Consider the following 22,592-nt stretch of genomic DNA (forward strand, 5'->3'; position numbering starts at 1 on the left):
CTTATTAGTATTAGAAGTTTTAGAATATAATTTCCATGATATATGTTTATTGATTCCCTAATCTACCCCAGAAACTGTGCTAGGCACTAGATTTTTATAATGATTAAGACCTGGTCCTGGCTTTCAGGGAACTCACAGTTTATTTGCATTAGTGTTTCACAAAATACCTAAATCATAATGATCACCCAGAGGCACTCGTCAAACTGGATTTTCTGGCACTGTAGCAAACAGAATCTCCAGGGGAAGGGCCTAGGAATCAATGTGATAAGTGGCCTGGCTGATTCTTATGTTCGGGAAATTTTGTGAAACACCAGTAGAATATTCTTGTTGAGCCTGTGATATTTATTTTAGAACAAGGCATTTCATGCTAATGGTGACTATCTAAACCAAATAAAACAAAAGCAATATGCTTTTTAAAATTATCAGTCTTTCTTTTGTTCATAAGAGTCTAAATTAAGGATTCTGTTGAATGTCACCTGAGTCTGTTGGTGCTCTACTATCGGTAGTTTTACCCTATTGGGCAATAGTCCGGTCTATTTAGACCACTGTTTTCTAACAGGCACCAAGAAAATTGTAGAAGGACATGTTCATCATCTTTGCATTACCATGAAACATCCTGATTTTTCTTAGAGCAACCAGTTTTTAATTGTATCAATCCAGTCATGAATTTGCATATTTTAGCAAATCCATTTATAGGTTTAACCTATGAATTCTATTCTGTGCCTCAAAATTCTCTGAAATCTTTTCATTTGCCTGAAATCAAAAAGCACTTCCTCTTTTATCTGATAGTCTAAATTTTTTTGAATGTTCTTTTTTTATTAGCCATGTTCTTCCTGAATCTGTTGATATCTGCCACATTCTTATTTAATCTTTATTTTCAGTATCAAATCCTAAGATTTTTAGTTTTTCCATACAAGAGTACTCAACTCTTTGATCATGTAGTGCCTTCTTGGCATCTTCTTTAGGTGCATTTTATCTTTCTTAAGAAAGTATCCCAGTTATTGTCACACCAGGCAAGATTTTATACAGACAAAAGGCATAGTTTGTTTTGTTTTGGTATTGATCCTCTGCTTTAAAATACTCGACATCTTGGGGATCTCATTAGTATACCAGGCCAAGTCTTAAGGTCTTCCCTGTCAATTTCATGGGTCAAAATTCTCAGTTCTTTTACAGGCTCCTTTTCTTTTACCCAAGTGTAAAATGGTGGAATTCCTTGAAGCTCTGCCCTAGGCTCTTTTCCTTTCTCTCTATGCTTCTGTTATAGTTTTTGTTTTTGTTTTCAAATTTACAGCTCAATTTGAGTTTTTTCCCTGAGTTTTAGACACATTATTGAACTGACTATGTGACATCTTCCCTTAGGTGGTATTTTAGACACTTCTAACTCAACTGTCACAAACTGAATTCGTAATCTTTCCCATCCCTGAATCTCTTATCTTTTCCCAGTTTCCTTTTCTCAGAAATTCCAATCCAGTTGCTCAAATTTCAAAATCTTGGAAATCATTCACGATGCCATCCTTATCCCCTGCAAATAGCAACTGACTGCTTTAATTCTGCTACTTAAAAGTATCTTATGTCATCACTCTTCTCTTCATCCCCAGTCCAAGCCACCATCGTCTCTCCTGTTCTACAATACTTTGTCTTACTTCTCTTCCCATTTCCACTCATAGTCGATTTTGTTCACTGAAACCATAGTAATCTGTTTAGAGTGTGCATCTAATTATTCCTTTTTCTGCGTAAAATCTTTAATGTGGCACATAAAGTCTTATGTGATCCGGCATCTACCCATGTTTATAGCCTCATTTTGTGGCCCTCTCCTTGCTGTTAAATATTTCAGGCCCAGGGGCCCTTTCACATGCTGTTTCCTTTGCTTAGAACGCATCTTTCTTCTTCCTGCCCCACCCTTGTTAGATACGCATTCATCTGGCCAGACCTGATGGCTCATGCCTGTAATCCCAGCACTTTGGGAGGCCGAGGCAGGAGAATCACTTGAACCTAGGAGTTCGCAACCAGCTCGGGCAACATAGTGGCACCCTGTCTCTACCAAAATAAAAATAAAAAGAAAGATACACATTCATCCTTTACGTTTCAACTTAAACATTAAAAGATTATTTCCTCAGCCTTTTTCTTATGGAGCCTAATCCCAGGTCTAAGTTAAGTCCACCTATTATATCACCCTGTGGTTCTACATAGTTCATCTATCTTTGCTCCAATCTGTACGCTCTTCATAAAGACAGTGACTGATTTTTGTTCACTGTCTCTGTATTTTGCCACTGTTGCAGGTGAATGGAGGAAAATTTTCCTAAATATGATTTGGATTTTCTTTAACCAAATTAATTTTCACTTACCTACATTCAAACATGTCTGTCATTCCTGCTAGTAATAAAGTTTTGCATAAATCTTCCTACATTTAAATCCCTTGGCTTGGAATTCTTGACCCACGACAGAACTTTGTTTTACAAACTTGCAGATTCTTCTGCATATTGAACTTCCCAGATCACTTATTAAAAATATTAACGTACTGGCTGTCTTGCAGATGAATGACCTAATTAGACTTGTAGTATCCAAGAATTGCCTGTTTATATTCATCTTTTTCTTTCTGAGTCCCGTGATGATTAATATTTGATGAATTATATTTTGAATAGCCTCCACATGCATTTTTCTCTTTTGTTCACTTCCTCACCATTTTGCTTCACTTTTTTTTTAACTGCTTCCTTTGTGTCTTTCCCATTCCTTTACCTTTGTTTTCTCCTTGACTTCCTATTGTTGGCCATTGTGGGCATTGTTTAGCATTTTCAGTGGAAAGAATCAGGGGAAAGAAAATACTAAATCTTAGTATAGTTAATATTTGATATTATCAACGAGAAGTAAGAAATGTTTTGAAAAACACAAATCAGTAGTTTTATATAACTTAATAAATTGAACAGATGATCATTTTTTGTAAAAAAAAAAAAAAACAAAACTTTTTAGTTTTTCTTCATGCACAGTTTCATTTAAAGGCATCCGTATTCCTAAGGGTAATTATTTGCCAAAAAAAAAAAATTAAAGTAGTTAGGCCACAGTGTATGACAATAAAGAGTGTTTATAAAGCCCTAATAATAATAATAAGTTACCTTTTTCTGCTTATGTTCACGAAGAACTAGTGTTAGAAAATAGCCTTCTTCACTGTTGGCAAGGTGCAGTGTATATGCAGTAAATAGAAAATAATTATTTCGCTCAGCAAGATAAGGGGCTGGGGGTGGAGAAACTGGCATAAAATGGAATAATTGTCAGTTGTACTTTATAAATATATTATACAGAAGTTCTTTATAACAGTTTTTGTAGCTTATAATTCTAAAGGCAAATTTAAACCATATATTCTCATTGATTGAGTTTTTTTTTCCTAGTATTTAAGTTACCAACTTGGTACCAGTTTGTTTTATTTTAGATGATTGTCTTTTTCCTCTTGCCCTTTTTAAATTAGGGGGACTACAGGCCATTGCAGAATTATTGCAAGTGGACTGTGAAATGTATGGGCTTACTAATGACCACTACAGTATTACACTAAGACGATATGCTGGAATGGCTTTGACAAACTTGACTTTTGGAGATGTAGCCAACAAGGTATGTTTTTATAACATGTATTTCTTAAGATAGCTCAGGTATGAGTTAATTTACTTTCATACAAATACATTTTACTGATTTTCTTTTTTTTCACTCTCCTCATTAAACAATGACTGATAAAAACCTGTGCTTCACATTCGCTTATCTTTACTCATTTGTTTGTCTTATGCCTAAACAAAGGCAAAGGTACATCTACAGATGGAACACAGTAGTGAATTTATGTAATTGCATTAAAAACACCATTCATAAGAATATACTTGTAGGGATCATTTCTGTGATCCATTACTAGAGAAGTTTAACTGTGTAGAATTAAAAAATAAAAGATAAAACACTTCCTAGGAATGGGATTAAAAATCTAAAAATTCTTAAGACCAAGGCAAGTGTTACACACACATTGATTCCATCCAAATAAGAGGCTTTACTCTAAAACCTGTTGCTTATCATTTCTCACCACTTATTCACTTTATTTCTCTAGTTTGACAAAGGAAGAACAGATAGCAAAGAATTAGGAGAATATTTGTCTTTTATTTAGGTAATCTTATTCTAGATTTTTTATGAGTGAAGTATCAGTTATGATTAAAACAAAATAATGAAAACTGAATTAGACATTTAGTAGCCAAAAATAAAGCTTGGCTTCAAGTTGTCTTTTTAATGATCCTCTATTCTGTATTTAATTTACAGGCTACGCTATGCTCTATGAAAGGCTGCATGAGAGCACTTGTGGCCCAACTAAAATCTGAAAGTGAAGACTTACAGCAGGTACTATTTAGAATTTCACCTGTTTTTCTTTTTTCTCTTTTTCTTTGAGGCAGGGTCTCACTCTGTCACCCAGGCTTAGAGGGCAGTTGTGCAATCTCAGCTCACTGCAACCTCTGCCTCCAGGGTTCAAGCAATCCTCCCACTTCAGCCTCTCGAGGCTGGGCCTACAGGTGCACACCACCATGCCAAACGAATTTTTGTATTTTTTATAGAGACGGGGTTTCACCACACCTGGGCTCAAGCAATCTGCCCACCTCAGCATCTCAAAATGCTGGGATTACAGGCGTGTGCCACCACACCCAGCTAATATCCTGATTTAGATTGTTGCTCAGTATTTAGTATCTCATGTATAAAAGATAGTTCCATTAACACTAGAAAAAGAAAAATAATTATATTGTGGTTAGACTGTAGGAAATCTTTTTGGCACTGTAGTAGCATTTAGGAGGAATTTAAAAAAAAAAAAAAAAACAGGATCTCCCTCTCTTGCCCAGGCTGGAGTGCAGTGGTGCGATTATGGCTCACAGTAACCTCAAGCTCCTGGGATCCTCCTGCTTCAGCCTCCCAAGTAGCTAGAACTACTGCAGGCGCATGCCACCATGCCCAGCTAATTTTTAAAAAGTTTTCATAGAGACAGGGTCTCACTGTGTTACCCAGAAGGTCTTGAACTCCTGGTCTCAGGAGATCCTCCTGCCTCAGCCTCCCAAAGTGATAGGATTACAGGCGTGAGTCACCACGGCTAGCCAGAATTTCTTTCTTAATAGATTTCTATTCTTACTGCTAGCATTAAAAACAAAAAAGCAACTAGTATGATTTTATGTATAAATTAATCTAAAATTGATTAATTTGCAGGTTATTGCGAGTGTTTTGAGGAATTTGTCTTGGCGAGCAGATGTAAATAGTAAAAAGACGTTGCGAGAAGTTGGAAGTGTGAAAGCATTGATGGAATGTGCTTTAGAAGTTAAAAAGGTACCTTTGAAAACATTTAGTACTATAATATGAATTTCATGTTTGGCTTTTTTTTGCTGCCTTCTTTTAGCCATGAGATTTCCTAATTTCTTACCTGTGTATTATTCAGTACTATAATATGAATTTCATGTTTAGCTTTTTTTGCTGCCTTCTTTTAGCCATGAGATTCCCTAATTTCTTTTTTGAGATGGGGTCTCTTTCTCTCGCCCAGGCTGGAGTGCAGTGGTCTGATCTTGGCTCACTGCAACCTCCGTCTCCCATGTTCAAGTGATTCTCCTGCCTCAGCCTCCTGAGTAGCTGGGATTACAGTGCACGCCACCACTCCCGGCTATTTGTATTTTTAGTAGAGATGGGGTTTCACCATGTTGGTAAGGCTGGTCTCGAACTACTCCTGACTTTGTGATCTGCCCAACTCGGCCTCCCAAAGTGCTGGGATTATAGGCGCAAGCCATCACGCCCAGCCTAGATTCCCTAATTTCTTACCTGTTTATCTCACCAGTCCATAGTTTTAGAGTACCGCAAACTCCTAAAGTACTAAGGTAGAAAAGATTATATAAGGGGATTTAATGTATATCAGGGTTTCTCTGCCTCAGCACTATAGACATTTTTGACCAGATAATTCTTCGTTTTGCTGGGGCTGACCTGTGCACTGTAGATTGTTTAGCAGCATCCCTGGCCTTTGCCAACTGGCTGCCAGTATACCCTCCCCCTAGTTATGCCGATCAAAATTGTCTCCAGATACTGTCAGATGTCTGTGGGAGGGAGGAAGGACAACGTCACCACCAATTAAGAATCACTGGTATAAGTGTACCTTTGTGCTCTCCAAACCTCAATCCCCTCAAATTTTGATGGTCAACTTATCAAGAGGTGATCAGAGCCAAGGGTGAGGAATCATCAAATAATAATTTGTTTACAGAAGGAAATATCTCCAGGCAGTCCATCTGCTTCAGAAACTAGGCTAAATTTAAAAAGAAAAAAAAAAGTAAACTTGAAATCTGAGAGGGACCAAGCAAGTTGTCTTAGCTAGTCTAGGTTTCCTTTCACCCAGCTAGTCCTCCTATACCCACAGCCTACATGTTCTTCTTCAAAACTTTCCTCTTCAGAGAAGGCAAAAGGTTTGTTTTTTTTTGGTTTAGTTATGCATTTTTGGTAAAGTATATTATTTTGTTCTTGGAAAACCCTTGAAAATTTATTAGATAGAAAAGCATTCAGCTAAATTATTAGTTATAAAGATAATATTCAAATATACTTAGCATCTGCATAAAAATACCTGTATCACTGTTGAATGGAGAGAAGACATTTAAGAAAAGAACATGGCCGATAAGCCCTTGAAAAGATACTTAATATCATTAATCATCAGGGAATACAAATTAAAACTACAATGAGATACCATTATGCATATCATATTGGTTAAAATTTAAAAGATTGACCATGCATTTTCAAGGATGTTGAGCAGCTGGAAATCATGTATTCTGCTAGTGGGAATATAAAATGGTATAATCACTTTGGACAACATTTGGCAGTGTTTTTAAGTTAAACATACACCTGCCATATGACCCAACCATTCCACTTCTAAGTATTTACCCAAGAGGAGCAAAAGTGCTGACACGAAGACTTACACACAAACATCCACAATAATTTATGATAGTCAAAAACTAGAAATAACTATGTCTGTCAGCAGGTGAATGGTAAGCAAATTGTGGAATATTTGTACAAAGTAATAGGATTCGGCTGTGAAAAAGAATGACTATTGATACATGCAGTAATCTGTAATGACAGAAAACAGATTAGTGGTGGCCTGGGGTTGGGAGTAGAAGAGAAGGGGAGGATTATGAGAGGGTAGGAAACTTTTGGGGATGATATAAATGTTTGTTATCTTGATTGGACTGGCAGTTTTATGGGTGTATACATGTATGAAAAATTATCAAATTGTAAACTTGAAATGTGTGCAGTTTACTGTTCTTCAATTATATTTCAATAAAGTTCAAAAAAATTAGTGCTTGCACACTTAAGTACTCCTACTCTAATAACCCTGTGTAGTTTCAGAAGGATTTAATGTGTGTGTGTATTATGAGAATTTGCACTGCTGCTAACTGGTTCATGACTTAATTCTCTCTCAAGGACCTAAACTCTTCTATAAATTTTTTTTTTTTTTGAGATGGAGTCTTGCTCTGCTGCCAGGCTGGAGTGCAGTGGCAGGATCTCGGCTAACTGCAACCTCCAACTCCCTGGTTCAAGCGATTATCCTGCCTCAGCCTCCCAAGTAGCTGGGATTATAGGCATGCGCCACCATGCCCAGCTAGTTTTTGTATTTTTAGTAGAGACGGGGTTTCACCATGTTGGCCAGGATGGTCTTCATCTCCTGACCTCATGACCCGCCTGCCTTGGCCTTCCAAAGTGCTGGGATTACAGGCATGATATAATGCATGGTCAATCTTGGAAAAACTAGCTGTCAGAAATTTATAATATCCAGTTCTGATTTGGGCCTAATTCTGGTTAGCAGTATTAGAATTTATTTATTTTTTCCCTCTTTTTCTACATTTAGTGCAGCAGTCATGAACATTCTTCTTCTCTTTTTCATTCAATATCAATTCCCTCTCAACTTCAGCTACTAATGAGCAAGAGAATCAGAACTACCTTCTAGCTCCCCTGCATGTTCCACATCACTTTAACTCACTCAGAGCTCTTACTCTAGAGCTTTCCTTTACCAGCACTCTGTACTCCGTTCACTTAAAGCTGTTGGTCCCTTACTCTTGTCTTCTACATATTCTCTACTGGATCCTTCTTTTTTATGTTTCAGTTCTCTAGAAGAAGCCCAATGTTTTGAAAAACAAAAATTTTCTGTGGCTTCTATTACAGTGTTTCTCTTTTCCAGTAACAACCAAAACCCTGAACAATGGTTTTGACCAAATACCTTTGTGTATCAGAGTGTTTCTGGGGCAGTTACAATTTGACAGTTGACTTTGACTTGCTTCATTTCTAAACTGGCTGTACTATCTTGAGTTCCTCCTAATTTTGCTTCTGACACAACCCTTCTCCTTGATCATAGAATCTAGATTTGTAGATTTATTTAAGTTTTTCTATTCTACCTTCACCTGTATTTTATACTTTTTGGTCACTCACTTTTGCTGTTACTACTTGTATTAATAACCTCTAATTATTTATTTTGTGTCTTCTAATTTGAACTATAAAAACATTTTTGAAACAAAACCTCTGGCCCTTGACATGTAGCCCCACAGAGAGGAACTTTTGTATTTTTCTACCTTCAACTCTCAACTCTGGGCCAGTTGCATCTTAATTCAGTCCTTTAAATTCTTGCTTTTTTTGTTCTCAGGATACTTGGAGTGCCCCACCTTTATCTCAGTCACAATGTAATTAAAATTGGGCTCATCTTGATTGATGTGAGAAGGACAAAGGCACTTCTTGCATAAAAGCACTCTATCTGCCTCCTACCACTTATGTGACAAATTATGTCTAAACCTGCTCCTAGATTGTTTTGTTCACTTAATTTCTTGATGAAGAGAGTAAAGTAGCTATTTATTGGGTTAGACCCAAAATGTTTGCTGTGACATTCAAGGCCTGGCTTTTGTCTCTCTGGACTTATTTTCCACTGTTCCCCATCATGGACTGTGATCTCCTTTGCATCTTCTTTCTGGGTCATCAGTACTCCCGCGCTGATTCCCACTTCCCTGCCTTTCCTCATTCTACTTCCCCTGCCAGCAGCAACTGGATTCTCTTCTCTGGGAATGTACAGGTCTAATCCTCCTAAAGAGCTGTTCTCCTCCATGAAATATTTGATTGATTTGATTAAATTCAGGGTGTAATAGTTTTTTCTTTGGAGCACTTTGTTTCATGTATATTTTTGTATCTTTTTTTCCCCCCAAAGCAAATTGCTAACACCTTCAATCACTGGTATCAGTTTGCTATGTTTGCATCCTCTAGAGTGCCTCTCATTGCAATAGGCACAGAGTTGATTTCTAATTAATGTTTGTTTCCTGATGGATATATAGTAAGAAGACAGATTGACATCACCATCATGCCAAGTTTTGGGTTTGGGTTTTTTTTTTTTGCTTTTGCTTTTGCTTTTGCTTTTTTGAGACAGGGTCTCACTCTGCCACACAGCCTTGACCTCCTGGGCTCAAGCTAGCCTCCCGCCTCAGCTTCTCAAGTAGCTGGACCTATAGGTGTGCACCACCATGCCTGGCTAATTTTTTTTTTTTTTTTTTTTGAGACCGAGTCTCGCTCTGTCACCTAGGCTGGAGTATAGTGGCGCAATCTCGGCTCACTGCAACCTCTGCCTCCCTGGTTCAAGCGATTCCCCTGCCTCAGCCTCCCAAGTAGCTAGGATTACAGGTGCCCACCACCACACCGGGCTAATTTTTTGTATTTTAGTAGAGACAGGGTTTCACCATGTTGATCAGGATGGTCTCGATCTCCTGACCTCGTGATCCGTGCACCTTGGCCCCTCAAAGTGCTGGGATTACAGGCATGAGCCATTGCGCCTGGCCGCCTGGCTACTTTTTATATTTTTTGTAGAGATTGGGTATTGCTGTGTTGCCCAGGCTGGTTTTTAACTCCTAGGCTTAAGTGATCCACCCACCTCAGCCTCCCAAAGTGCTGGGCCTGAAGGCATGAGCCACCACACCCAGCACATGGCAAGTTTTGACCAAATACCTTTAATTGTGTATCAGAGTGTTTCTGTGGCCATTACAATTTGACAGTTGACTTTGATAATTGTATGTTAGGGAGTTCCAGGTTTTCATAATTTGTTATGTGGGGAATTTTAAGAAATTATAGCTTTTCTAGTACCCTTTATTGTTTTTATAAATTACATTGTTAATTTTGAATCAACCACTTGTATATAATGCTTTTTATATAAACAGAATATTGTATATACTACACTGCAACTTGCTCTTGTCATTTAATAATACTTCCAAGATATCTTTCCATATCTATGTATGGTTTACAGAATTTTAAAAATCTACTTTCTTTTTTTTTTGAGACAGGGTCTCACTGTCAACCAGGCTTGAGTGCAGTGGCGCGATCATGGCTTACTGCAGCCTTGACCTCCCAGGCGCAAGTGATCCTCCCAAGCAGCTGTGACTGCAGGCGCGTGCCACCATACCCAGCTCATTTTTTTTTTATTTTTTGTACAGACGGGATTTCACCATGTTGTCCAGGCTGGTCTCAAATTCCTAAACTCCCAGTCACGCCAGTCAGCCTTCCAAAGTGCTGGGATTACAGGCATGAGCCACCACGTTGCGCCTTTTTTTTTTTTTTTTTTTTTTAAAAAGAGTTTCGCTCTGTCAGCCAGGCTAGAATGCAGTGTTGCAGTCTCGGCTCACTGCGACCTCTGCCTCCCAGGTTCAAGCGATTCTCCCACCTCAGCCTCCCAAGTAGCTGGGATTACAGGCACCTGCCATGAAGCCCGGCTAATTTTTTTTTGTATTTTTGTAGAGACGGGGTTTTACCACATTGGCGAGGCTGGTCTTGAACTCCTGACCTCAGATGATCCACCCGTCAGCCTCCCAAAGTGCTGGGATTACAGGCATGAGCCACTGTGCCCGGCCACATGCCGGGCCTTAATCCACTTCCTGTTCACTTTTTTTTTTCTTTTTTCAAGCAACCCCAGCCTGAGAATAACCCACATTCTATTCTGAAAATGTTTTCTTTTCATAATGCACATCAGTTGTGCCTCATATTCTAAGATGTGTGTACTATCTAAACACTTAGAATAAAGTTTATAAAAGTCATTAGTTAAATATTGTGTTCTGCTTGTTTTATAGAGATATCACTGATATAAATACTATTTGGTATTTTATGAACATTTTTCTAAATGGAAAGTTCTTAATTTACCAGTGAGGGACGGGCAATAGGATAGATTAAAAAATAGCTTTTATTCAATATCAGTAACATAGAAGTTAATGAGAGACAAATTCCAACTCTAATTAGATGACCCATATTCTGTTTCTTACTAGGAATCAACCCTCAAAAGCGTATTGAGTGCCTTATGGAATTTGTCAGCACATTGCACTGAGAATAAAGCTGATATATGTGCTGTAGATGGTGCACTTGCATTTTTGGTTGGCACTCTTACTTACCGGAGCCAGACAAACACTTTAGCCATTATTGAAAGTGGAGGTGGGATATTACGGAATGTGTCCAGCTTGATAGCTACAAATGAGGACCACAGGTATATATAGAGTTTTATATTACTTTTAAAGTACAGAATTCATACTCTCAAAAAGACCTAATTGTAAGCAATGTTTTATATAATCATGAAAGTTTTAAGCCAAAATATATTTATTACTGTGAAAAGATAACTACTAACTCTTAGTTTAACTCATTAGTGTACTTAATGTAATAACAGTTTATAGTATTATAGAGGAGACTAAATTAAGCAAATTATAGTTGAGAGGTGTAGCCCATAGGTGGAGGAAAAAATAGTCACAAATATTGTAACAAAATAATCCATTTCTATTAGTATAGTATAAAAGAGTATGAAAACAAAATTTAGAACAAGACAAAAACTATGAGCGTGATCCAGAGAATATAAAGGTTCACATTTTTCTAATGATGTCTTAGTATCCATAATAATAATTTTTTTTTTTTTTTTTTGAGACAGGGTCTCACTCTGTCTCCCAGACTGGAGGGCAGTGTTGTGATCTTGGCTCACTGCAACCTCCACCTCCTGGGTTCAAGCGATTCTCCCACCTCAGCTTCCCAACAAGCTGGGACTACAGATGCACGCCACAACACCCGGCTAATTTTTCTATTTTTTGGTAGAGATGGGGTTTCACAATGTTGTCCAGCTGCTCTTGAACTCCTGGCCTCCAGTGACCCACCTGTCTCAGCCTCCCTAAGTGCTGGGATTACAGGTGTGAGCCACCGCGCCCGGCCAATAATCATAATATTATTTAGCTAACAGCCATTCATCCAATCTGCTAGAGTTGTAAAACCCAAGAGAGTGCTTCAGATACAGGGCACACATTTTCAGAACTCGGATGCTGTATTATATCAACAAAAATACAACTGTCTTTTTTTTTTTTTTTTTTTTTTTTTTCTTGAGATGGAGTCTTGCACTCTTGCCCGGGCTGGAGTACAGTGGCACAATCTTTGCTCACTGCAACCTCTGCCTTTGGGGTTCAAGCGATTCTCCTGCCTCAGCCTCCCGAGTAGCTGGGATTACAGGTCCCCCCCCCCCCCCGCCACCGTGCCCGGCTAATTTTTATATTTTTAGTAGAGACGGGGCTTCACCATGTTGGCCAGGCTGGCCTTGAACTCCTGACCTTAGGTGATCCGCCCACCTCGGCCTCCCAAAGTGCTGGGATTATAGGCATGGGCTACTGCGCCTAGCCAAAAATATGGTTGTTTTTTATAGCTTATTCATTTTTTAAGTCTGTGATGCAGAAACTACAAGCCTAGTCTCCCTTTCTGCTATACAGAGAAGATTTCTTAAGTCCAGTAACTACTGGACTGCTAAGAGAAGACGACCATGTTAAAGCTCATTATGTACCCTTGCCATTCAGTTTTAAAGCCCACTAAAGCTGAATATGCTGTCATTAATCTTCAGTTTGCCTGCGTTAAACAAGCTGTTGCTCTTTCATGTCCAGAGTTCATTATGCTGATTCTCACTCCTTGTTTTTATATGCCTTAAATGTTTCAAAAACTTTAATTTACTTGATTTTTTAAAAATAATAAGCACACAGTCTGCCAAAGAGCAGTTTTTCTTTTCTTTTTTTTCTTTTTTTTGAGATGGAGTCTCACTCTGTTGTCCAGGTTGGAGTGCAGTGGTGTGATCTCGGCTCACTGCAACCTCTGCCTCCCAAGTGATTCTCCTGGCTCAGCCTCCTGAGTAGCTGGGACTACAGGCATGCACTACCATGCCCGGCTAATTTTTGTATTTTTAGTAGAGACAGGGTTTCACCATGTTGGCCAGGCTGGTCTTGATCTCCTAATCTCAGGTGATCCGCCTGCCTCAGCCTCCTAAAGTGCTGGGATTACAGGCATGAGCCACTGTGTCTGGCCAAGAGCACTCGTAAGAAGGATGGCAGTATCACAAAATCAAGCCAGAGATACAGAGATTACTCTAAAAAGTAAGTGTTCTAATCTAAGAGCTTATAATGTGCACTGACTGCAGAAAAATCTTCAATCAATTCTATCTACCTCTTCCAAGATAACTCAATATCAATATCAGAGTGGCACCCAACCATAGATTAAATTACCACAAAGTTCCTATTCAACATAGGATTTCATGATATAGTTTTTAAATTGGGAAACTGTTATATGAATAGAGTAAATGTATGTGCCCCACCCCCTGCAAATGTTTTAAGCTATTGGGTCAGAATAGGAAATGTAGAATTGACAAAAAATAACACCTTTACTTTTTTTAGTGTGACAGATTAGTACTTTAAAACATTAAACATTACATGAAATTAGAACAAAAGGAGATGTGGAATACTTGGAATTTATAGGATAATTGGTACAATCATATTATGCCTTTTGTCTTCTATCCTTTTATTTGTTGTTACTGCATACACATTGTGACCTTAATTTTGTGATCTCTTGATTTTATTTCAGGCAAATCCTAAGAGAGAACAACTGTCTACAAACTTTATTACAACACTTAAAATCTCATAGTTTGACAATAGTCAGTAATGCATGTGGAACTTTGTGGAATCTCTCAGCAAGAAATCCTAAAGACCAGGAAGCATTATGGGACATGGGGGCAGTTAGCATGCTCAAGAACCTCATTCATTCAAAGCACAAAATGATTGCTATGGGAAGTGCTGCAGCTTTAAGGAATCTCATGGCAAATAGGCCTGCGAAGTACAAGGATGCCAATATTATGTCTCCTGGCTCAAGCTTGCCATCTCTTCATGTTAGGAAACAAAAAGCCCTAGAAGCAGAATTAGATGCTCAGCACTTATCAGAAACTTTTGACAATATAGACAATTTAAGTCCCAAGGCATCTCATCGTAGTAAGCAGAGACACAAGCAAAGTCTCTATGGTGATTATGTTTTTGACACCAATCGACATGATGATAATAGGTCAGACAATTTTAATACTGGCAACATGACTGTCCTTTCACCATATTTGAATACTACAGTGTTACCCAGCTCCTCTTCATCAAGAGGAAGCTTAGATAGTTCTCGTTCTGAAAAAGATAGAAGTTTGGAGAGAGAACGCGGAATTGGTCTAGGCAACTACCATCCAGCAACAGAAAATCCAGGAACTTCTTCAAAGCGAGGTTTGCAGATCTCCACCACTGCAGCCCAGATTGCCAAAGTCATGGAAGAAGTGTCAGCCATTCATACCTCTCAGGAAGACAGAAGTTCTGGGTCTACCACTGAATTACATTGTGTGACAGATGAGAGAAATGCACTTAGAAGAAGCTCTGCTGCCCATACACATTCAAACACTTACAATTTCACTAAGTCGGAAAATTCAAATAGGACATGTTCTATGCCTTATGCCAAATTAGAATACAAGAGATCTTCAAATGATAGTTTAAATAGTGTCAGTAGTAGTGATGGTTATGGTAAAAGAGGTCAAATGAAACCCTCGATTGAATCCTATTCTGAAGATGATGAAAGTAAGTTTTGCAGTTATGGTCAATACCCAGCCGACCTAGCCCATAAAATACATAGTGCAAATCATATGGATGATAATGATGGAGAACTAGATACACCAATAAATTATAGTCTTAAATATTCAGATGAGCAGTTGAACTCTGGAAGGCAAAGTCCTTCACAGAATGAAAGATGGGCAAGACCCAAACACATAATAGAAGATGAAATAAAACAAAGTGAGCAAAGACAATCAAGGAATCAAAGTACAACTTATCCTGTTTATACTGAGAGCACTGATGATAAACACCTCAAGTTCCAACCACATTTTGGACAGCAGGAATGTGTTTCTCCATACAGGTCACGGGGAGCCAATGGTTCAGAAACAAATCGAGTGGGTTCTAATCATGGAATTAATCAAAATGTAAGCCAGTCTTTGTGTCAAGAAGATGACTATGAAGATGATAAGCCTACCAATTATAGTGAACGTTACTCTGAAGAAGAACAGCATGAAGAAGAAGAGAGACCAACAAATTATAGCATAAAATATAATGAAGAGAAACGTCATGTGGATCAGCCTATTGATTATAGTTTAAAATATGCCACAGATATTCCTTCATCACAGAAACAGTCATTTTCATTCTCAAAGAGTTCATCTGGACAAAGCAGTAAAACCGAACATATGTCTTCAAGCAGTGAGAATACGTCCACACCTTCATCTAATGCCAAGAGGCAGAATCAGCTCCATCCAAGTTCTGCACAGAGTAGAAGTGGTCAGCCTCAAAAGGCTGCCACTTGCAAAGTTTCTTCTATTAACCAAGAAACAATACAGACTTATTGTGTAGAAGATACTCCAATATGTTTTTCAAGATGTAGTTCATTATCATCTTTGTCATCAGCTGAAGATGAAATAGGATGTAATCAGACGACACAGGAAGCAGATTCTGCTAATACCCTGCAAATAGCAGAAATAAAAGAAAAGATTGGAACTAGGTCAGCTGAAGATCCTGTGAGCGAAGTTCCAGCAGTGTCACAGCACCCTAGAACCAAATCCAGCAGACTGCAGGGTTCTAGTTTATCTTCAGAATCAGCCAGGCACAAAGCTGTTGAATTTTCTTCAGGAGCGAAATCTCCCTCCAAAAGTGGTGCTCAGACACCCAAAAGTCCACCTGAACACTATGTTCAGGAGACCCCACTCATGTTTAGCAGATGTACTTCTGTCAGTTCACTTGATAGTTTTGAGAGTCGTTCGATTGCCAGCTCCGTTCAGAGTGAACCATGCAGTGGAATGGTAAGTGGCATTATAAGCCCCAGTGATCTTCCAGATAGCCCTGGACAAACCATGCCACCAAGCAGAAGTAAAACACCTCCACCACCTCCTCAAACAGCTCAAACCAAGCGAGAAGTACCTAAAAATAAAGCACCTACTGCTGAAAAGAGAGAGAGTGGACCTAAGCAAGCTGCAGTAAATGCTGCAGTTCAGAGGGTCCAGGTTCTTCCAGATGCTGATACTTTATTACATTTTGCCACGGAAAGTACTCCAGATGGATTTTCTTGTTCATCCAGCCTGAGTGCTCTGAGCCTCGATGAGCCATTTATACAGAAAGATGTGGAATTAAGAATAATGCCTCCAGTTCAGGAAAATGACAATGGGAATGAAACAGAATCAGAGCAGCCTAAAGAATCAAATGAAAACCAAGAGAAAGAGGCAGAAAAAACTATTGATTCTGAAAAGGACCTATTAGATGATTCAGATGATGATGATATTGAAATACTAGAAGAATGTATTATTTCTGCCATGCCAACAAAGTCATCACGTAAAGCAAAAAAGCCAGCCCAGACTGCTTCAAAATTACCTCCACCTGTGGCAAGGAAACCAAGTCAGCTGCCTGTGTACAAACTTCTACCATCACAAAACAGGTTGCAACCCCAAAAGCATGTTAGTTTTACACCGGGGGATGATATGCCACGGGTGTATTGTGTTGAAGGGACACCTATAAACTTTTCCACAGCTACATCTCTAAGTGATCTAACAATCGAATCCCCTCCAAATGAGTTAGCTGCTGGAGAAGGAGTTAGAGGAGGGGCACAGTCAGGTGAATTTGAAAAACGAGATACCATTCCTACAGAAGGCAGAAGTACAGATGAGGCTCAAGGAGGAAAAACCTCATCTGTAACCATACCTGAATTGGATGACAATAAAGCAGAGGAAGGTGATATTCTTGCAGAATGCATTAATTCTGCTATGCCCAAAGGGAAAAGTCACAAGCCTTTCCGTGTGAAAAAGATAATGGACCAGGTCCAGCAAGCATCTGCGTCTTCTTCTGCACCCAACAAAAATCAGTTAGATGGTAAGAAAAAGAAACCAACTTCACCAGTAAAACCTATACCACAAAATACTGAATATAGGACACGTGTAAGAAAAAATGCAGACTCAAAAAATAATTTAAATGCTGAGAGAGTTTTCTCAGACAACAAAGATTCAAAGAAACAGAATTTGAAAAATAATTCCAAGGTCTTCAATGATAAGCTCCCAAATAATGAAGATAGAGTCAGAGGAAGTTTTGCTTTTGATTCACCTCATCATTACACGCCTATTGAAGGAACTCCTTACTGTTTTTCACGAAATGATTCTTTGAGTTCTCTAGATTTTGATGATGATGATGTTGACCTTTCCAGGGAAAAGGCTGAATTAAGAAAGGCAAAAGAAAATAAGGAATCAGAGGCTAAAGTTACCAGCCACACAGAACTAACCTCCAACCAACAATCAGCTAATAAGACACAAGCTATTGCAAAGCAGCCAATAAATCGAGGTCAGCCTAAACCCATACTTCAGAAACAATCCACTTTTCCCCAGTCATCCAAAGACATACCAGACAGAGGGGCAGCAACTGATGAAAAGTTACAGAATTTTGCTATTGAAAATACTCCGGTTTGCTTTTCTCATAATTCCTCTCTGAGTTCTCTCAGTGACATTGACCAAGAAAACAACAATAAAGAAAATGAACCTATCAAAGAGACTGAGCCCCCTGACTCACAGGGAGAACCAAGTAAACCTCAAGCATCAGGCTATGCTCCTAAATCATTTCATGTTGAAGATACCCCAGTTTGTTTCTCAAGAAACAGTTCTCTCAGTTCTCTTAGTATTGACTCTGAAGATGACCTGTTGCAGGAATGTATAAGCTCCGCAATGCCAAAAAAGAAAAAGCCTTCAAGACTCAAGGGTGATAATGAAAAACATAGTCCCAGAAATATGGGTGGCATATTAGGTGAAGATCTGACACTTGATTTGAAAGATATACAGAGACCAGATTCAGAACATGGTCTATCCCCTGATTCAGAAAATTTTGATTGGAAAGCTATTCAGGAAGGTGCAAATTCCATAGTAAGTAGTTTACATCAAGCTGCTGCTGCTGCATGTTTATCTAGACAAGCTTCGTCTGATTCAGATTCCATCCTTTCCCTGAAATCAGGAATCTCTCTGGGATCACCATTTCATCTTACACCTGATCAAGAAGAAAAACCCTTTACAAGTAATAAAGGCCCACGAATTCTAAAACCAGGGGAGAAAAGTACATTGGAAACTAAAAAGATAGAATCTGAAAGTAAAGGAATCAAAGGAGGAAAAAAAGTTTATAAAAGTTTGATTACTGGAAAAGTTCGATCTAATTCAGAAATTTCAGGCCAAATGAAACAGCCCCTTCAAGCAAACATGCCTTCAATCTCTCGAGGCAGGACAATGATTCATATTCCAGGAGTTCGAAATAGCTCCTCAAGTACAAGTCCTGTTTCTAAAAAAGGCCCACCCCTTAAGACTCCAGCCTCCAAAAGCCCTAGTGAAGGTCAAACAGCCACCACTTCTCCTAGAGGAGCCAAGCCATCTGTGAAATCAGAATTAAGCCCTGTTGCCAGGCAGACATCCCAAATAGGTGGGTCAAGTAAAGCACCTTCTAGATCAGGATCTAGAGATTCGACCCCTTCAAGACCTGCCCAGCAACCATTAAGTAGACCTATACAGTCTCCTGGCCGAAACTCAATTTCCCCTGGTAGAAATGGAATAAGTCCTCCTAACAAATTATCTCAACTTCCAAGGACATCATCCCCTAGTACTGCTTCAACTAAGTCCTCAGGTTCTGGAAAAATGTCATATACATCTCCAGGTAGACAGATGAGCCAACAGAACCTTACCAAACAAACAGGTTTATCCAAGAATGCCAGTAGTATTCCAAGAAGTGAGTCTGCCTCCAAAGGACTAAATCAGATGAATAATGGTAATGGAGCCAATAAAAAGGTAGAACTTTCTAGAATGTCTTCAACTAAATCAAGTGGAAGTGAATCTGATAGATCAGAAAGACCTGTATTAGTACGCCAGTCAACTTTCATCAAAGAAGCTCCAAGCCCAACCTTAAGAAGAAAATTGGAGGAATCTGCTTCATTTGAATCTCTTTCTCCATCATCTAGACCAGCTTCTCCCACTAGGTCCCAGGCACAAACTCCAGTTTTAAGTCCTTCCCTTCCTGATATGTCTCTATCCACACATTCGTCTGTTCAGGCTGGTGGATGGCGAAAACTCCCACCTAATCTCAGTCCCACTATAGAGTATAATGATGGAAGACCAGCAAAGCGCCATGATATTGCACGGTCTCATTCTGAAAGTCCTTCTAGACTTCCAATCAATAGGTCAGGAACCTGGAAACGTGAGCACAGCAAACATTCATCATCCCTTCCTCGAGTAAGCACTTGGAGAAGAACTGGAAGTTCATCTTCAATTCTTTCTGCTTCATCAGAATCCAGTGAAAAAGCAAAAAGTGAGGATGAAAAACATGTGAACTCTATTTCAGGAACCAAACAAAGTAAAGAAAACCAAGTATCCGCAAAAGGAACATGGAGAAAAATAAAAGAAAATGAATTTTCTCCCACAAATAGTACTTCTCAGACCGTTTCCTCAGGTGCTACAAATGGTGCTGAATCAAAGACTCTAATTTATCAAATGGCACCTGCTGTTTCTAAAACAGAGGATGTTTGGGTGAGAATTGAGGACTGTCCCATTAACAATCCTAGATCTGGAAGATCTCCCACAGGTAATACTCCCCCGGTGATTGACAGTGTTTCAGAAAAGGCAAATCCAAACATTAAAGATTCAAAAGATAATCAGGCAAAACAAAATGTGGGTAATGGCAGTGTTCCCATGCGTACCGTGGGTTTGGAAAATCGCCTGAACTCCTTTATTCAGGTGGATGCCCCTGACCAAAAAGGAACTGAGATAAAACCAGGACAAAATAATCCTGTCCCTGTATCAGAGACTAATGAAAGTTCTATAGTGGAACGTACCCCATTCAGTTCTAGCAGCTCAAGCAAACACAGTTCACCTAGTGGGACTGTTGCTGCCAGAGTGACTCCTTTTAATTACAACCCAAGCCCTAGGAAAAGCAGCGCAGATAGCACTTCAGCTCGGCCATCTCAGATCCCAACTCCAGTGAATAACAACACAAAGAAGCGAGATTCCAAAACTGACAGCACAGAATCCAGTGGAACCCAAAGTCCTAAGCGCCATTCTGGGTCTTACCTTGTGACATCTGTTTAAAAGAGAGGAAGAATGAAACTAAGAAAATTCTATGTTAATTACAACTGCTATATAGACATTTTGTTTCAAATGAAACTTTAAAAGACTGAAAAATTTTGTAAATAGGTTTGATTCTTGTTAGAGGGTTTTTGTTCTGGAAGCCATATTTGATAGTATACTTTGTCTTCACTGGTCTTATTTTGGGAGGCACTCTTGATGGTTAGGAAAAAAATAGTAAAGCCAAGTATGTTTGTACAGTATGTTTTACATGTATTTAAAGTAGCATCCCATCCCAACTTCCTTTAATTATTGCTTGTCTTAAAATAATGAACACTACAGATAGAAAATATGATATATTGCTGTTATCAATCATTTCTAGATTATAAACTGACTAAACTTACATCAGGGAAAAATTGGTATTTATGCAAAAAAAAATGTTTTTGTCCTTGTGAGTCCATCTAACATCATAATTAATCATGTGGCTGTGAAATTCACAGTAATATGGTTCCCGATGAACAAGTTTACCCAGCCTGCTTTGCTTTACTGCATGAATGAAACTGATGGTTCAATTTCAGAAGTAATGATTAACAGTTATGTGGTCACATGATGTGCATAGAGATAGCTACAGTGTAATAATTTACACTATTTTGTGCTCCAAACAAAACAAAAATCTGTGTAACTGTAAAACATTGAATGAAACTATTTTACCTGAACTAGATTTTATCTGAAAGTAGGTAGAATTTTTGCTATGCTGTAATTTGTTGTATATTCTGGTATTTGAGGTGAGATGGCTGCTCTTTTATTAATGAGACATGAATTGTGTCTCAACAGAAACTAAATGAACATTTCAGAATAAATTATTGCTGTATGTAAACTGTTACTGAAATTGGTATTTGTTTGAAGGGTCTTGTTTCACATTTGTATTAATAATTGTTTAAAATGCCTCTTTTAAAAGCTTATATAAATTTTTTTCTTCAGCTTCTATGCATTAAGAGTAAAATTCCTCTTACTGTAATAAAAACAATTGAAGAAGACTGTTGCCACTTAACCATTCCATGCGTTGGCACTTATCTATTCCTGAAATTTCTTTTATGTGATTAGCTCATCTTGATTTTTAATATTTTTCCACTTAAACTTTTTTTTCTTACTCCACTGGAGCTCAGTAAAAGTAAATTCATGTAATAGCAATGCAAGCAGCCTAGCACAGACTAAGCATTGAGCATAATAGGCCCACATAATTTCCTCTTTCTTAATATTATAGAATTCTGTACTTGAAATTGATTCTTAGACATTGCAGTCTCTTCGAGGCTTTACAGTGTAAACTGTCTTGCCCCTTCATCTTCTTGTTGCAACTGGGTCTGACATGAACACTTTTTATCACCCTGTATGTTAGGGCAAGATCTCAGCAGTGAAGTATAATCAGCACTTTGCCATGCTCAGAAAATTCAAATCACATGGAACTTTAGAGGTAGATTTAATACGATTAAGATATTCAGAAGTATATTTTAGAATCCCTGCCTGTTAAGGAAACTTTATTTGTGGTAGGTACAGTTCTGGGGTACATGTTAAGTGTCCCCTTATACAGTGGAGGGAAGTCTTCCTTCCTGAAGGAAAATAAACTGACACTTATTAACTAAGATAATTTACTTAATATATCTTCCCTGATTTGTTTTAAAAGATCAGAGGGTGACTGATGATACATGCATACATATTTGTTGAATAAATGAAAATTTATTTTTAGTGATAAGATTCATACACTCTGTATTTGGGGAGGGAAAACCTTTTTAAGCATGGTGGGGCACTCAGATAGGAGTGAATACACCTACCTGGTGCCTTGAAAATCACATCAAGTAGTTAATTATCTACCCCTTACCTGTGTTTATAACTTCCAGGTAATGAGAATGATTTTTTTTAAAGCTAAAATGCCAGTAAATAAAAGTGCTATGACTTGAGCTAAGATATTTGACTCCAATGCCTGTACTGTGTCTACTGCACCACTTTGTAAACACTTCAATTTACTATCTTTGAAATGATTGACCTTTAAATTTTTGCCAAATGTTATCTGAAATTGTCTATGAATACCATCTACTTCTGTTGTTTTCCCAGGCTTCCATAAACAATGGAGATACATGCA

At 38.4% G+C, this 22,592-nt stretch overlaps 1 protein-coding gene across 37 annotated transcripts in view; it reads left to right on the top strand.

The window, feature by feature from the left end:
* The window catches only part of APC (APC regulator of Wnt signaling pathway), a 138,742-nt gene extending 116,150 nt beyond the window's left edge, over nt 1-22,592 (top strand). For 35 of the 37 annotated variants that reach the window (NM_001407470.1, NM_001407472.1, NM_001407447.1 and 32 more), the window contains 5 exons: nt 3,461-3,600; nt 4,282-4,359; nt 5,209-5,325; nt 11,304-11,518; nt 13,906-22,592. In NM_001407470.1, the coding sequence (NP_001394399.1) occupies nt 3,461-3,600; nt 4,282-4,359; nt 5,209-5,325; nt 11,304-11,518; nt 13,906-20,479 (7,124 nt within the window). In that variant the 3' untranslated portion in view covers nt 20,480-22,592. The remainder of the gene's footprint in view (nt 1-3,460; nt 3,601-4,281; nt 4,360-5,208; nt 5,326-11,303; nt 11,519-13,905) is intronic. The other 2 variants (NR_176366.1, NR_176365.1) reach the window with 1 other exon arrangement.

This window comes from Homo sapiens, chromosome 5 (genome assembly GCF_000001405.40).
Source record: "Homo sapiens chromosome 5, GRCh38.p14 Primary Assembly".
NCBI lineage: Eukaryota > Metazoa > Chordata > Mammalia > Primates > Hominidae > Homo > Homo sapiens.